This window comes from Homo sapiens, chromosome 1 (genome assembly GCF_000001405.40).
Source record: "Homo sapiens chromosome 1, GRCh38.p14 Primary Assembly".
Taxonomy (NCBI): Eukaryota; Metazoa; Chordata; class Mammalia; order Primates; family Hominidae; genus Homo; species Homo sapiens.
The window spans coordinates 219,764,161-219,782,468 of record NC_000001.11 but is presented as its reverse complement, the minus strand read 5'-3'; the positions used below and the strand labels follow the sequence as shown (position 1 = coordinate 219,782,468).

The window sequence follows — 18,308 nt, the reverse complement described above, 5'->3', positions numbered from 1 at the left end:
AATCCTATTATGCAAATGGGGTCTTTGCTGGCCTGGGCCATGCTGTCTGCTCCTGACTGCACACCTAGTTGGCAAAGAGAACGGAGGATGGAGCCACCATGTTGGTCATGTCTATCCCCTCTTTCCTGTTGGCACAACTGCCAGCAATCACCTGTGCAAGCTTCTAGCCTGCGTTTCTATGTCTGCAGCTTGATTTTAGAGGCTCCTATTTGTTAGAAAAGAAAATAATTTGGGGACTTCTTTTCATTAAAAGGAAAACCTTACTAAGGACTCCTGTACCCTTATTATCTGATGAAATAATTTCTTTTTAACTCCTATATCAATGTTTAATAATGAAATCTCATTCATACCTTGATCACCTGGTAATGGATAGTAAGGTAAGAAGAGCCAATAATGACCTCTAAAATCAGAAGTTGCATGTGGATCACTTAGACTAGAAAGTATAGTCCATCCTATAAATGAAGGAAGAGGGTATTGGAACCAGCAGGGACTCATTCATTTATCTATTGGGTGGCTACTATGTTGTCAGGCAAAAACCAGACAGATATTCCCCCAAGGAGCTTACATTCCAGAAGGGGAAAATAAACAGGCAACAAATTTTAAAAAAGGCAAATAGATGAGATATGCTAAGAAAGCTATAAAGGGGGTCATGAGAAGAGAGCTACTGGGTCTGGTGGGGCTACTTTAGATCAGATAAGTAAGGAAGACCTGCTTCTGTTAGGAGGTGACATTTGAGCTGAGACTTGAAGGATGAGATAAGCCAGCCATAGGCAAAACTGGAGGAAGTGCATTCCAGCCAGAGGGAGCCTGAGTGCTCCTTGGAGAAGAGCATGGGAGGAAGAGGAAGAACTATATGAGTGAGCCAGGAGATAAGTAAGGACCACTGGCTTAACAGCCATTTATGGAATGCTGAAAATGGACCAGGCTCTGTGCTGGTCTCAGCAATACAGCAATGGACAAAATATACAAAAATCTCTGTCTTTATGGCAGTTATCCTCCAGAGTGGACCAGGTCCTAATGTGCCCTATAAGTCATAACAAAGGGGTGAGACTTTAGTCTGAAGGTGATAGGGAGCCTTTGAAGTGCTGAAAGCTGGGGAGTGACACAATCAGATTTGCATTTTAGAAATACCAGCTCTGAGGTCAGTGTGGAGAATGGCTGCGACAGGGTATTCTAGAAGCAAGGAGACTGCCCAGAGGCAGGTGGCAGAAAGAAGATGCTGTTCTTTATGTAGACAGTGAAGTAGGCTGGAAATAAATAGAGCCATTCTAGAGATACTAAGAAAGTACAGTGGACAAGATCAGATCATGGACAGGGGAAAGATCTAGGATACAGAAGTGTACTGTCAGGTTTCATGACTTCAAGTATCGGGTGGATGTTGTTGCCATTTATTTCGTTGGGCAATGCAGGAGGAGGAGCAGATTTTTGGAGAAAAATTAAATTGTATTATTCTTGTCCTTGATGCAGTTTGTACTTTATTGAGGAGACAAGTATGCAAATAAAATCATTCCATCAGCCAACGTACCAGTCAGGATAAGCTAAACTTTGATGTGCAAACTAACAACCATCAGAATAGCAGCTTGACACAGCAAAGATTTATTTTTCTCTCGTGCTACACATCTAAAACGGACAGGATTGAGTGGGGGTCTGTTTTCATTGTAGTCCCTGGACTGAAGCCTATAAATATACGTTCCATCCTGACATACGCATCCATTGGGACATGGTTAAAAAAAGAAAGAGAGAGAAGTAGTGAATCACACACTGGCTCTTAAATCTTCTGTCTGGAAATGGTTTGCATCACTTCTGCTCACATTTCATTGGCCAAAGCAAGTCATAGGGTCATGCCTAACTTCAAGAAAATGAGGGAGTGCCATCATTCTGTGTACTGAAACGAGGGAGACTATTCGTTCTTGCTATTGCAATCTATTAGGTGGTGCACAATTTCAATTTGTCCTTTATTGACAATAGTAGTTTTGATAGCTTGATTAAAGTGGTGTCTGCTAGACTTCCTCACTGTATGGTTATTTTCCCCTTTGTAATTAATAAATACATTGTAGAGAGTTACTTTGAAATGATGTAAACTTCCCATTTCTTATCAGACTTTTAATTAATTAATATGTAAGGAGATTTATGATTTCTGTTTAATTAATATCTAAACAGACTCATGGCTACAATTTCTAGTCTACTAAGTGATTCATATGCAACTTCAGATTTTAAAGGTCATGGTTTCCATCGAATACTCATGGTATTCAATGAGTTATCATTATTGCTGTCGTTATTTACTCGATGCTCAAATTATCCCAGATTTGATTTGGCCATTGGGAACCTTTCAATCTGGCTTCTATGTCTTTTTGTCATGGCCCTGCATTCTTCGAGCACTTCCTTGCTCCAGAATCATCTTATACTTTTCTTGCTCCAGCTCTGGCCATGGGTCCAGTCCTTTCTCCAAGGAGCCCTGATTGTTTATAGTGGAGAACGGTATTTAGAAGTGAAGATTGGGGTGCTTGGTGTGTTATTTGCTATTGGGATGTTGCTGCTTCCATGCTCTTTCGGGGGACAGAGCTGTAGGATAGAGGCATGTATGCACACGTACACAGACATACAGATTTACATCTATACTTGTATCTATCTTTATCTATTATGTACATTAAAAACCGTGAACTCACATTGATGCCTCCAATTCAAATTCAAATTCAAAATCATACGGTATATTCTGGTTTTCTCTCTCTCTTTTTTTTTCCTATTTACAAATCCTTTCTCTCCATTGAGAAAGTTGGTCCTCATATCCAAACTTATTCCATAAGCTTCCCCTTTACTCCCTTACCCTGTGTAACTAAACTTTCATTGTCACTGCTGTCCCCTCCCTCACGTCAGAGCCCTCCTCCCACACTGGCTACTCCCCTCAGGTGGGGACCCTCCTCATTGTGCCTGGACTCCAACAACCAGGCCCCCTCTCCTGTCTGGACCTTCTCACTCTGATGTCCCCTTAGGTGGAAGCTCCTCACTTTGCCTGGGCTCTGACTTTTCATTCCAGGTTAATGAGGATGTTGCAGCAGCAAAGAAGTTAGCCTGGTGACATACCTGTATCCTACTAGGTATCTGTGTGCAGACCATTTATAAACCTGAGAATGGGTTACAGCCAACTGAGAGTTAGAAACCCAAGTTTTCTGATTCCCAGTTTTTTTCTCTCTCTCAAGTTCCTGGCATCGATAGCAATTAATGGAATCCATGGAGGCTTTCTGTGGTTCTCTTTCTCAGTTTGGGCCCCAAATGGATTTATTTTGGAAACCAAATGTAAGTCCATTTACTCATTTAAGGGTTATCTAAAGGTGAAAAAATGCTACTTTTTTTTAGCAGTTCAGAAATTTTTCAAATGCTTTTTTGCGTTTGAATTTCTCAAAAGCAACTTTGTTTGGAAATTTTAAACTTGGCATTCCTGGTACATAACCCTGAGTGAGGAATGTGTGCTTTGCCTTGTTTGAAGAAATTTGGTTTTGAAATAACAAAGTTATGGATGTTTAAAAATACTGCACGGAACAGACACTGTGAGTTATTTTCCTTCGCCTTTGAAACATACTCTATATTGTGAAGCTGGTAACTTTCATGGGTGGGGGAATTTAATAGCATATACTTGACTGATGCAAATGTGAGATCATTTTATAAGCCACATGGGGATCTAGTTGAGGCATCTTTTCAATTTTTACTCAGTAAATTCACTTGATCTCTGAATAACTTAGAATCCTGGGGCATAGTGCCTGTGTCCATATCACGTACTCAATGATTGTTGAGCTGATGTGAATTGAACATGCTTGTTCTCATTTGGCTGCTCATTTCCCCTCCAGCTCCAAGTGGCTAACTATGGTCTGGGAGGGTGGTTAACAAATTACAGTTCGTGGGCCAAATACAGCCTGCCACTGTTTTTTTTTTTTTAATGGCCTGCAGGCTGAGAGTGGTTTTTACATTTTTAAATTCTTGAACAACAATAAAAAGAAGACTAACGTATCATGACATACGAAAATTACATGAAATTCAAATTTCAGCATCCATAAAAGATGTTTTATCAGAACACAGCCATTCTCATTCATTTATGTATTATCTAAGACTGCTTTCACACTACAATGGCAGAGATGAGTAGTTGCAACAGAGACTGTATGACCTGCCAAGCCTAAAGGATTTACTATCTGGACCTTTACAGAAAGAGTTTGCTCACCCCTAATCTAAGAGACAGAACACACATCGTCAGTTCCTTTTTAAGATTACTTGCTATAAAATTAAAAGCCAAGCCTTTTTTTTTTTTTTTGGTTTTTAGTATATTTACTGTATTGTGGGGCATGTGGAATTCAGTGTTTTCTAGTGTATTCACTATGTACTATATACACTACCACTGTCTAATTCCAGAGCATTTCTATCATCCCAAAAAGAAATGCTGTACGTATTACAGTCAGTCCCAATCCTCTCTTCCCTCACATTCCCTAATCTACTTTCTGTCTGAATGGATTCACCTATTCTAGACTTCATATAAATATACATACCATATAAGTATTTCATATGAAAATTTCATTAAAATGTTCATACAATATGTAGACTTTTGTGTTGTTTTTTTTTTTCAAAGTTCATTCATTTTCTCACATATAGTAGTACTTCATTCCTTTTTACAAGGCTTTCTTTTAATTTTCTACTTTAATACTTCTGGCCTGCCTCCTCTTTGACATTTGATTGAATTCCAATTCAATATCAATAACAAAAATTATTGTGATAATAATAAAAGTATAAATCATCAAGCCAAATATAAATTTTTTAAACTCTGTCCATTTTGTTAATTGCACTATTTCCACATTTGATGACTAATAAAGATATCATGAGTGAAGAGATTTGGATGATAACATCTATTTTATACATCTCTAGGTTTATGTCTAATTGGTGCATTTGTTTTGCTTTCTCTAGCTCTTTATAAGCTCCAGAAAGATAACTTCTTTCGGATTTCATATGCATAGTGTATTAGTCCATTCTCGTGCTGCTATGAAGAAATACCTGAGACTCGGTAATTTACAAAGGAAAGAGGCTTAATTGACTCACAGTTCCACAGGGCTGGGGAGACCTTGGGAAACTTACAATCATGGCTGAAGGGGAAGCAAACATGTCCTTCTTTAAATGGTGGCAGCACATTGATTTTGTATCCTGAGACTTTGCTGAAGTTGCTTATCAGCTTCAGGAGATTTTGGGCTGAGACAATGGGGTTTTCTAGATATACAATCATGTTGTCTGCAAACAGGGACAATTTGACTTCCTCTTTTCCTAATTGAATACCCTTTATTTCCTTCTCCTGCCTAATTGCCCTGGCCAGAACTTCCAACACTATGTTGAACAGGAGTGGTGAGAGAGGGCATCCCTGTCTTGTGCCAGTTTTCAAAGGGAATGCTTCCAGTTTTTGCCCATTCAGTATGATATAGGCTGTGGGTTTGTCATAGATAGCTCTTATTATTTTGAGCTACATCCCATCACTACCTAATTTATTGAGAGTTTTTAGCATGAAGGTTGTTGAATTTTGTCAAAGGCCTTTTCTGCATCTATTGAGATAATCATGTGGTTTTTGTCTTTGGTTCTGTTTATATGCTGCATTAGATTTATTGATTTGCGTATATTGAACCAGCCTTGCATCCCAGGGATGAAGCCCACTTGATCATGGTGGATAAGCTTTTTGATGTGCTGCTGGATTCGGTTTGCTAGTATTTTATTGAGGATTTTTGCATCAAATCACAAGCATTCTTATACACCAATAACAGACAAACAGAGAGCCAAATCATGAGTGAATTCCCATTCACAATTGCTTCAAAGAGAATAAAATACTTAGGAATCCAACTTACAAGGGACGTGAAGGACCTCTTCAAGGAGAACTACAAACCACTGCTCAAGGAAATAAAAGAGGATACAAACAAATGGAAGAACATTCCATGCTCATGGGTAGGAAGAATCAATATTGTGAAAATGGCCATACTGCCCAAGGTAATTTATAGATTCAATGCCATCCCCATCAAGCTACCAATGACCTTCTTCACAGAATTGGAAAAAACTACTTTAAAGTTCATATGGAACCAAAAAAGAGCCTGCATCACCAAGTCAATCCTAAGCCAAAAGAACAAAGCTGGAGGCATCACGCTACGTGACTTCAAACTATACTACAAGGCTACAGTAACCAAAACAGCATGGTACTGGTACCAAAACAGAGATATAGATCAATGGAACAGAACAGAGCCCTCAGAAATAACACCGCATATCTACAACTATCTGATCTTTGACAAACCTGAGAAAAACAAGCAATGGGGAAAGGATTCCCTATTTAACAAATGGTGCTGGGAAAACTGGCTAGCCATATGTAGAAAGCTGAAACTGGATCCCTTCCTTACACCTTATACAAAAATTATTTCAAGATGGATTAAAGACTTAAACGTTAGACCTAAAACCGTAAAAACCCTAGAAGAAAACCTAGGCATTACCATTCAGGACATAGGCATGAGCAAGGACTTCATGTCTAAAACACCAAAAGCAATGGCAACAAAAGCCAAAATTGACAAATGGGATCTAATTAAACTAAAGAGCTTCTGCACAGCAAAAGAAACTACCATCAGAGTGAACAGGCAACCTACAAAATGGGAGAAAATTTTCACAACCTACTCATCTGACAAAGGGCTAATATCCAGAATCTACAATGAACTCAAACAAATTTACAAGAAAAAAACAAACAATCCCATCAAAAAGTGGGCAAAGGATATGAACAGACACTTCTCAAAAGAAGACATTTATGCAGCCAAAAGACACATGAAAAAATGCTCACCATCACTGGCCATCAGAGAAATGCAAATCAAAAAACCACAATGAGATACCATCTCACACCAGTTAGAATGGCAATCATTACAAAGTCAGGAAACAACAGCTGCTGGAGGGGATGTGGAGAAATAGGAACACTTTTGCACTGTTGGTGGGACTGTAAACTAGTTCAACCATTGTGAAAGTCAGTGTGGCGATTCCTCAGGGATCTAGAACTAGAAATACCAATTGACCCAGCCATCCCATTACTGGGTATGTACCCAAAGGGCTGTAAATCATGCTGCTATAAAGACACATGCACACGTATGTTTATTGCGGCACTATTCACAATAGCAAAGACTTGGAACCAACCCAAATGTCCAACAATGATAGACTGGATTAAGAAAATGTGGCACATATACACCATGGAATATTATGCAGCCATAAAAAATGATGAGTTCATGTCCTTTGTAGGGACATGGATGAAATTGGAAATCATCATTCTCAGTAAACTATCGCAAGAACAAAAAACCAAACACCGCATGTTCTCACTCATAGATGGGAATTGAACAATGAGAACACATGGACAGAGGAAGGGGAACATCACACTCTGTGGACTGTCATGGGGTGGGGGGAGGGGGGAGGGATAGCATTAGGAGATATACCTAATGCTAAATGACGAGTTAATGGGTGCAGCACACCAGCGTGGCACATGTATACATATGTAACTAACCTGCACATTGTGCACATGTACTCTGAAACTTAAAGTATAATTAAAAAAAAAATGGTGGCAGCAAGGAGAAGTGCAGAACAAAAGGGGGAAAAGCCCCTTATAAAACCATCAGATCTCAAAAGAAGTCACTCACTATCAAGAGAACAGAGGGTAACTGCCCCCATGATTAAATTACCTCCCACTGGGTCCCTCCTATGACACGTGGGGATTATGGGAACTACAATTCAAGATGGGATTTGGGTGGGGACACAGAGCCAAACCATATCTCATGGTGTAGGGCACAGGACTTAGAATCACAAGGGTCTGATGGCATTCTTCCTGAATCATGTTATTGGAGATACTCATAATGCGTAATGATGACAAATCTCAATTGGATACTCCACCCTGCCTGATTATCCTACAAACATCCCTAGTCAGTTCACTTTCTCATTCTTGCTGTGAGTTGGTTGCCTCATCTCATACTTCCCAGAGAATATGGAAAGAACAAGATGAGAGTTAGGTCCATAAGTATGCCCCATGTACTTGCATGTGTATCTAGATGATGATACAGATCATCACCTAACAATGGGCCTTTTCACCAGAGGTAATATTCCCTTTATTTCTCTCCTGGATCACATTGCTTCTTGCCTTCTACAGGACTTGGCTCCTTATTTACCATTTCCTTGTTTCCACTACCAGTTTTCCTCCTCTTCTGCATCATTCCAATCAGCACATGAGCTAGTTCTAATAAGATTCATCTTTTAAAACCTGCCCTTTCCCCAGCACTCTTCTCTAATTACTGCTGCAAGTCTTTGCTACTTTTAAGAGACCTGCTAAAACCATTGTCTATGTACTTGTTATCTTCACTTTCTCATGTCCTTTTCTATTCTCCATTTATTCTAAACAGATTCTATTTACCACCACTTGTGACACTTGTTAAGGTCCCTAGAGACTCCATCTGACCACATCTATTTGATTATGTTTTTTCCCTACTTTGCCTACCAGTCACACACACTGTGGTGTTTCACTTTCCTTTTAAAACACTTTCTTATCTGGTCTTCGTGGGTACCACACTCTTCCGATTTTCCTCCCACATGATTGGTGATTTTTCTTCTTAGACGAATCTTTGCAGGGATTGGACATCCCAGTCAGAAAATCAAAAATCTGAAATGCTTTAAAATGTGATGTTTTTGAGCACTGATATGATGCTCAAAGGAAATGCTCATTGGAGTATTTCAGATATAATGCATGTATTCTAATGTCCTCCAAAAATTGAAATCCAAAATACTTCTAGTCCCAAACATTTTGTCTATGGGATACTCAACTTCTACCTAGTCTCTGCTTTATCCTCAATAGCTGCAACAGTGCTTGGCATAGAGTTGGTCTCAAAGATGACTTGTGGAATGAATGAACTCACCGACCTTGTTCCCGCATTGACATCTTTGTATTTGCTGATTTGCTTGGAAGATTTTCCCTCCAGGCCTCCACTTGGCTTCCTTTTTGTCATTGTTCAGCTTTCAATTCGAGTCACTTCTTTGGAGCAGGCAGCCCTTGCCAGCCTTCTGCTTCCCATTCCCACCCCTGTGACTCTCTAGGACAGAAGTAAGCAAACCTTTTCTTCACAGAGTCAGATAGTAAATACTTATGACTTCTCAGTTCATCCAGGACCTGTCACAACAACCTAACTTTGTCACTGTAGTGTGAAAGCAGCTGTAGATAATTCCTACATGGGTGAGTATGGCTATATTCCAATACAATTTTATTTACAGATACTGAGACTTGAATTTTGTACATGTCATGAAGTATTAATCTTTTGATTTTTTTTCAATCATTTAAAATGTTACTTTGTGAGCTGCACCAAAATAGGCAGTGGGCTGGATTTGACCCAGAGGCTATGGTTTGCTAATTTCTGCTCTAGTGCATTACCCTCTTTTATCTTTGTGGTGCTGAAAATTATGTTATTTATTCATTTGCTATTGTAATTTGTTTTCCCTTTCTTAGAACATGGTTACCTTGAAGGCAGGAATTCTGCCTTATTCCTTATTCTATTCTCAGAGCCTACAACACTGCCTAGATGCCTCCTGCCCAGGCTAGAGCTACCCCTACCAGACCTTGCCCCTCCCCATAGCCCTTTCTCTTTAAAGGCTTATTCTCTTTCCTCTCCCATATTGATAGCTTCCCTCTTAGGAATTCAGGGTTCATTTCAAGAGAGGGAGTCAGTAAATTTGTCATCTGGTTGGAACAGGAACCTCAGATTTTAGTGGGGAGGGGCCCACTTAACGTGATTATAGCTGATTCCCGGCATCTAACTGTTCTGATTACATCCTATTTATCCCAGTGGTAAAGGAGGGATCCCCCTCCACATAGTGTGAGATAGTCATGCACGAGACACTTGACACTGGGCAGATAAGGGTGACAGCAGTTTAATAGTCACATCTATTCACTCTGGAGGTAGAGGACACTGCCTGCCATGCAGGGCCAATGGGGTTGCACTCAGGAAGAATGAGCTGGCAGGGACTGTGGGAGGCAGGCTTTGTAGTATCAACAGGGTGAGGTGACCCCTGGTTACCAAGCGAGGATGTGATTGGCTTGTTTGAATAATTTCATGTGCTGTTAGGGAGATAAAATCCACTAAGTTGAAAACTGAATGGGGTTAAGATGATTGGGCTGGTGGGAAACTAGCAGAATGGGGTCTGTTTCCTGCTGGGTTGGGTATATCTGGTGAGAGCAAGAGAACTCATGGGTAGGCCTTTTGGGACCTGGCTCAGACCTAAAATTTAAAGGGCCACCTTAACATCTCGGCTCAAAGATGTTAAGGTGGCACTCTAAATTTTAGGTCTGATATACTAGCACCAAGCTTAGAGTAATAAATATTTGTTGAATGAGTGAAGGATTTTACTTAACCTTTATTCAGTATCTGTATGTAACAGCTTCATATTTGCTACTGAGGACAAAAAGAGGATTGGGAGGCCGGGCGCGGTGGCTCATGCCTGTAATCCCAGCAGTTTGGGAGGCCGAGGTGGGCGGATCACGAGGTCAGGAGATCGAGACCATCCTGGCTAACACGGTGAAACCCTGTCTCTACCAAAAATACAAAAAAAAAAAGAAAAAATTAGCCGGGTGTGGTGGCGGGTGCCTGTAGTCCCAGCTACTTGGGAGGCTGAGGCAGGAGGATGGTGTGAACCCGGGGGGTGGAGCTTACAGTGAGCCGAGATCGCGCGACTGCACTCCAGCCTGGTCGACAGAGTGAGACTCCGTCTCAAAAAAAAAAAAAAAAGAGGGTTGGGTTACAATTACATTTACATTATAAGGCTCTGTACAATTACAACAGAGAGCAATAAATGTTCTAATGGAATGTAGGTTCCAGGGTTTGTCAGAATGCTGATGATAAGTCAATGTATGGGTAGGATGGGAACAAAAAGAGGGAGTTGCATTGAATCAGTTCCATGTTTTTGTTCTCATCTGTTCATCCAGTATTTATTGAGGGTCTATCATGGGCCAGGCTAGGCAACTAAGCTTTTGTTGTTTCTAACTGAACCCAGGAGACAAGCTACAATGGTTGAACACAGAGGATGAATTGGAATTAGCATATGAACAAGGGCACACTAATGTGGTCTAAATAGTCTTCCCGAGAACTGTAGGAATGTGGCCAGCACATGTTCTCATGTGAGTGTGGTGAGTCAGGGACACCTTGGAGGGGCGTTTGGAGTTCAAGGCAGTGATGGACGTGGATTGGCAGGAAGGAGAGGTAAGGCAATCCAGGCATGAGTCATTCTATGGTTGGTTTCCTTGCTAAATAGATTCTTTCACAGGGAAGAGTCATCTCTTGTCCAACTACTTTCCTCTGTTGGATTTGCACAGCCATAGACTACACCACGTCTTTGTTTATGGGGATTATAAGGCTGTATTTGCAGCTGAATTTTAGTCAGGCAGAACCTCTCATCATCCAGATCCTGGTCTTCACCATAAAATGTGGGCAGGAAATGGGAGCCATAAACTCCTTGCTCTCCTGAATCAACTTATTTTGATAAGACTCTTTAGTCCTCATTTCACTCTTCGTGTGGTGGAAATTCGTGTCTGTATTAATTTGTCACACGTTTATTGAGCAAGTGCTTTGTGCAAGACAAAGGGCCTGGGTCTGGGTAAAACAGCAATAACAACAAAAAATAAAGATCCCTGTTTTTGAAAAACTTGCAAGATAACAGGGAGTAATAGCAACAACAAGATAGCAAATAAAATCCCACGTAAATAAAGTATAAGACACTGACTCTCAAACAAGAAAACTGTGGCTGAGTTTTGATTCAGCCTTCTATTAGCTGTTACACCATAGAAAGTAGCTTAGTCTGTCTCTTGGCTCTTCTCTAAAATGGGACTAATAGTTCAAACACCTCATAATGTTCGTGTGAGGATGAAGTAGTATAAGATTAAATGTTGTTAGAGCAGAGTCTGAACATAGAAGTCAATAAATGCTAGCCCTTATTATTATTGTTATTATTATTATCATTATGACAGAGACATGTTCAGTATGCAGTGTGTATACATAGGATAGACAACCAATAGGGAGGAAAGGATTCGTGAACGTTTTCCCATAAGTGGTGACACTTGAACTGAATCTGGAAAGAAGGGTAATGACCGTTGCTAAAATGTGTCGAGTACTTATGAGAGGTCAGATACTGTTCTGAGAACATAACATGGATAATCTCTCTTAATTCTCACATTACCCTCTGAGGTATATGCTAATATTACCTTCATTATTACAGAGGAAAGACAAGTAGGACTTAACCAGGCAGAGAAAGGACCTTGGGGAAGGCATTTTGGATAGTGGTACAGATCCAAAGGTCTAGAGATATGAAAGATTACCAGATTAATGGAACTCAAAGCAGTGCAATATGGCTAGAACAACAATTTAAAAAAGATGGGAAATGGTGTGAGGTGAAGCTGGAGAAATAAGAAGGCCAGATTATTGCTGTCATCCCAGAGACTCATTGGATACCCCAACTGAATATGGCCCAGCATTCTCTCTAACAAAGCTCTGGCCATCCACTTTTTTATTTTTATTTTTTAAATTTTTCCATAAGTTATTGGGGTACAGGTGGTATTTGGTTACATGAGTACATGAGTAAGTTCTTTAGTGGTGATTTGTGAGATTTTGGTGCACCCATCACCTGGGCAGTATACACTCACCATATTTGCAGTGTTTTATCCCTCGCCCCCCTCCCACTCTTTCCCCCAAGTCCCCAAAGTCCATTGTATCATTCATATCCATTTGCATCCTCATAGCTTTGCTCCCACATATCAGGGAGAACATACGATGTTTGGTTTTCTATTCCTGAGTTATTTCACTTAGAATAATAGTCTCCAATCTCATCCAGGTCACTGCAAATGCTGTTAATTCATTCCTTTTTATGGCTGTGTAGTATTCCATTGCATATAAATACCACAGTTTCTTTATCCTCTCGTTGATTGATGGGCATTTGGGTTGGTTTCATGATTTTGCAATTGTGTACTGTGCTGCTATAGACATGTGTGTGCAAGTATCTTTTTCAGTTAATGACTTATTTTCCTCTGGATAGATACCCAGCAGTGGGATTGCGGGATAAAATGGTAGTTCTACTTTTAATTCTTTAAGGAATCTCCACACGGTTTTCCATAGTGGCTGTACTAGTTTACGCTCCCTCCAGCAGTGTAGAAGGGTTTCCTGGTCCCCACATCCACGCCAACATCTACCGTTTTTTGATTTTTTGATTATGGCCATTCTTGCAGGAGTAAGATGGTATCGCATTGTGGTTTCAATTTGCATGTCCCTGATCATTAGTGATGCTGAACATTTTTCATATGTTTGTTGGCCATTTGTATATCTTCTTTTGAGAATTGTCTGTTTATGTCCTTAGCCCACTTTTTGATGGGATTGTTTGTTTTTTTCTTACTGATTTATTTGAGTTCATTGTAGATTCTGGATATTAGTCCTTTGTCAGATGTACAGATTGTGAAGATTTTCTCCCACTCTGTGAGTTGTCTGTTTACTCTGCTGACTGTTCCTTTTGCCATGAAAAAGCTCTTTAGTTTGATTAGGTCCCAGCTATTTATCTTTGTTTTTATTGCATTTGTTTTTGGGTTCTTGGTGGGGAAATCCTTGCCTAAGCCAATGTCTACAAGGGTTTTTCCAATGTTATCCTCTAGAATTTTTCTCGTTTCAGGTCTCAGTTTAAGTCTTTAATTCATCTTGAGTGGATTTTTGTATAAGGTTAGAGATGAAGATACAGTTTTATTCTCCTATATGTGGCTAGCCAATTATCCCAGCACCATTTGTTGAAAAGGGTATCCTTTCCCCACTTTATATTTTTGTTTGCTTTGTCGAAGATCAGTTGGCTGTAAGTATTTGGGTTTATTTCTGGATTCTCTATTCTGTTCCATTGGTCTATGTGCCTATTTTTACACCAGTACCATGCTGTTTTGGTGACTATGGCCTCATAGTGTAGTTTGAAATCAGGTAGTGTGATGTTTCCAGATTTGTCCTTTTTGCTTAGTCTTGCTTTGGCTGTGCAGGCTCTTTGTTGGTTCCATATGAATTTTAGAATGGTTTTTTCTAATTCTGTAAGGAATGATGGTGGCTGGTATTCAAATGAGGATTGTGCTGAATTTGTAGATTGCTTTTGGCAGTATGGTCATTTTCACAATATTGATTCTACCCATCCATGAGCATGGGATGTGTTTCCATTTGTTTGTGTCGTGTATGATTTCTTTCAACAGTGTTTCATAGTTTTCCTTGCAGAGGCCTTTCGACTCCTTTGTTAGGTATATTCCTAAGTATCTTATTTTATTTTTATTTTTTGTAGCTGTTGTAAAAGGGGTTAGTTCTTGACTTGATTCTCTGCTTGGTCACTGTTGGTGTATAGAAGAGCTACTGATTTGTGTACATTAATCTTGTATCTGGAAACTTTTCTGAATTCTTTTATCAGTTCTAGGAGCTTTCCGGAGTCCTTAGGGTTTTCAAGGTAAATGATCATATTGTCAGCAAACAGTGACAGTTTGACTTCCTCTTTACCGGTTTGGATGCCCTTTATTTCTTTCTCTTGTCTAATTGCTCTGGCTAGGACTTCCAGTACTATGTTGAAGAGGACTGGTGAGAGCAGGCATCCTTGTCTTGTTCCAGTTCTCAGAGGGAATGCTTTCAACTTTTCCCCATCCAGTGTTATGTTGGTTGTGGGTTTGTCATAGATGGCTTTTTTACATTAAGATATGTCCCTTGTATGCCGATTTTGCTGAGAGTTTTAATCATAAAGTGATGCTGGATTTTGTCAAATGCTTTTCTGCATCTATTGAGATGATCATGTGATTTTTAAAAATTTTGTTTATGTGGTGTATCACATTTATTGACTTGCATATGTTAAACCATCCCTGCATCTCCGGTATGAAACCCACTAGGTCATGGTTGATTATCTTTTTGATACGTTGTTGGATTTAGTTAGCTAGTATTTTGTTAAGGATTTTAGCATCTATGTTCATCAAGGATATCAGTCTGTAGTTTCCTTTTTTGGTTATGTCCTTTCCTGGTTTTGGTAATGCCACCTTCATAGAATGAATTAGAGAGGGTTCCTTCTTTCTCTATCTTGTGGAATAGAGTCAAAAGGATTGGTAACAATTCTTCTTTGACTGTCTGGTAGAATTCTGCTGTGAATCTATCTGGTCCTGGACTTCTTTTTTGTTGGTAATTTTTAAATTACCATTTCAGTCACACTGCTCATTATTGGTCTGTTCAGGGTATCTAATTCTTGCTGATTTAAGCTAGGAGGGTTTTATTTTTCCAGGAATTTACCCATCTCTTCTAAGTTTTCTAGTTTATATGGATAAAGGTGTTCCCAGTAGCCTTGAATGATCTTTTGTATTTCAGTGGTGTCAGTTGTAATATCTCCTGTTTTGTTTCTTAGTGAGGTTATTTGGATTTTCTCTCTTCTTTTTTTGGTTAATCTTGCTAATGGTCTATCAATTTTATTTATCTTTTCAAAGAACCAGCTTTTTGTTTCATTTATCTTTTATATATTTTTTTGTTTCAATTTCATTTAGTTCTGCTCTGATCTTAGTTATGTCCCTTCTTCTTCTGGGTTTGGGTTTGGTTTGTTCTTGTTTCTCTAGTTCCTTGAGGTTGACCTTAGATTGTCTGTTTGTGCTCTTTCAGACTTTTTGATGTAGGTGTTTAGGGCTATGAACTTTCCTCTTAGCACTGCCTTTGCTGTATCCCAGAGGTTTTGATAGGTTGTGTCATTATTGTCATTGAGTTCAAAGGATTTTTTAATTTCCATCTTGATTTCATTTTTGACCCAATGCTCATTCAGGAGCAGGTTATTTTCCATGCATTTGCATGGTTTTGAAGGTTCCTTTTGGAGTTGATTTCCAGTTTTATTTCACTGTAGTCTGAGAGAGTGCTTGATATAATTTCAATTTTCTTGCATTTATTGAGGCTCATTTTATGTCATATCATATGGTCTATCTTGGAGAAATGTGCTGTTGAATATAATGTATATTCTGTGGTTGTTGGATAAAATGTTCTATATATATCTGTTAAGTCCATTTGTTCCAAGGTAACAAATGGACTTAAATCCATTGTTTATTTGTTGACTTTCTGTTTTGATGACCTGTCTAGTGCTGTCAGTGGAGTATTGAAGTCCCCCACTATTATTGTGTTGCTGTCTATCTCATTTCTAAGGTCTGTTTGTAATTGTTTTATAAATTTGGGAGCTCCAGTGTTTGGTGCATTTATGTTTAGGATTGTGATATTTTACTGTTGAACAAAGACTTTTACCATTATAGTGTCCCTCTTTGTCTCTTTTAACCACTGTTACTTTAAAGATTGTTTTGCCTGATATAAGAATAGCTACCCCTGCTCACTTTTGGTGTCCATTTGCATGAAATGCCTGTTTCCACCCCTTTACTTTATGTGAGTCCTGATGTGTTAGCTGAGTCTCCTGACAGACAGTTGGTTGGTGAGTTCTTATCCATTCTGCTGCAGGGTTCAGTATCTTTTAAGTGGAGCATTTAGGCTGTTTACATTCAATGTTAGTATTGAAATGTGAGGTACCATTGCTTTCATCGTGCTCTTCGTTGCCTGTGTACTTTGGTTTTTTTTTTGTTTGTTTTTTGTTCTTGCTTTTTAACTTACATTTTGTTTTATAGGTCCTGTGTGATTTAGGCTTTAAAGAGGTTCTGTTTTGATGTGTTTCCAGGATTTGTTTCAAGATTTAGAGCTCCTTTTAACAGTTCTTGTAGTGGTTTCATGGTATTGGTGAATTCTGTCAGCATTTGTTTGTCTGAAAACAACTGTATCTTTTCTTCATATATGATGCTTAGTTTCCCTGGATACAAACAAGCACCAAAAGGTATTTTAAACTAAGACACATTCAAAGAAACATTTGAAAGGAAAACAGATAAAAGCATCAAATAAATGTGGAAGTGTAACCCCAACAGCCCAACGCTTAAGTCATGTCCATGATTTAGGGCAGGTACTTGAGAAGGATGCTGGAGCCTTCTAGCTCTTAGGAACCCTAAAGCCACCTGACCAGGTGGGTGACACATTTGAAGACAGGCCTGGTTCAAATGGCAGCTAACACTCTCCTGTTTGTAATCCAAGAAAGAGAAGCTCATTAGTACCTCTCTTCCCCCCTCCCCTGTCCAATGCACCACTGGGGACTCTTCTTAACAGCATATCTTCTATTCCAGTGATTCATGACTTTGATTAAACTTTATCTTTTTAGTGCCCCTTCTTCTCCCTGTTTTATAAGACAAATGTTATTTTTGGGGGTAGTGTTCAGGGTCAGAGACTTTTCAGGGTGCCTGTGCTCAGTCTGATGGTGAGACCAGGATGTTGAATATTTTGTCATTTGCCTAGGTGACTTGATACTTGTAAAAGCGTATATCTCTCTCTGTACCTCCATGCTGACCAAACTTCAGTTCCTCTGAGAATTTTATGCTAAGAAAAGGCTCATCTTCTAAGAAAATAACACTAATATTAAACAGTTGTCTCTTGGAGGTCTATGATAAGCAAGATGCTTTACACATCTCTAGTCAAGGGACTGTTTTCTTCATTTTTCACTAGAGAGAACTGAGGCTTAGAGCATTTAATTCCCAGGTCTTCAGTCATACGGTATCTACTAGACCTGGGGTTCAAACCCCAGTCCTTCAGACTCCAAAGCTCATGCATTCTAGACCACACTGGAGCTGCCAGCTTCTTGTTATAGAACACTTTGGGGTTCCCTCTCTTGATGTGACTGCAAGTAAACTCTGGCATTTATTTATTTATTTATTTATTTTTTGTTTGGGATGAAGTCTCACTCTGTCGCCCAGGCTGAAGTGCAGTGGCACCATCTTGGCTCACTACAACCTCTGCCTCCCGGGTTCAAGCAATTCTCCTGTCTCAGCTTCCTGAGTAGCTGGGACTACAGGCGCGCACCACCACACCTGGCTAATTTTTGTATTTTTAGTAGAGACAGGGTTTCACTATATTGGCCAAGCTGGTCTTGAACTCCTGACCTCAAGTGATCCTCCCACCTCTGCCTCCCAAAGTGCTGGGATTACAGGTGTGAGCCACCGAGCCAGTCCTAATTTAATGTTCATGGATGGTAATTACTGTCTTTATATTTCTCGTTTAATTATCTCTCTTTTTTATTCTAGATTATTTTTCATCTCTCTGATTTTGTTTGTAACACTTGCTGAATATACATTGGAGTCTATTTCAATCTGCCTCAAATTCTCTACTTTTTTTGAGATTTGGAGTTTAGATTATAAATAAATGACTAAT

The 18,308-nt window shown here is 39.5% G+C and overlaps 1 long non-coding RNA gene across 1 annotated transcript in view, besides 2 other annotated features; it reads left to right on the top strand.

Moving 5' to 3' along the window:
* The window catches only part of LOC105372926 (uncharacterized), a 198,874-nt gene that overhangs the window by 101,830 nt on the left and 78,736 nt on the right, over positions 1-18,308 (top strand). The gene's annotated exons all lie outside the window — the stretch shown is intronic.
* Positions 8,454-8,513: an enhancer, noted in NCBI's record as "active region_2549". NCBI's record gives its function as "activates an Ori minimal core promoter by ATAC-STARR-seq in GM12878 lymphoblastoid cells {active_cell/tissue: GM12878}" and the evidence as "EXISTENCE:reporter gene assay evidence [ECO:0000049][PMID:35858748]".
* Positions 10,222-10,391: an enhancer, noted in NCBI's record as "experimental_4814 CRE fragment used in MPRA reporter constructs". NCBI's record gives its function as "activates a minimal promoter by MPRAs in K562 erythroleukemia cells, with activity observed for both the introgressed and non-introgressed 1:219945505 variant alleles {active_cell/tissue: K562}" and the evidence as "EXISTENCE:reporter gene assay evidence [ECO:0000049][PMID:34662402]".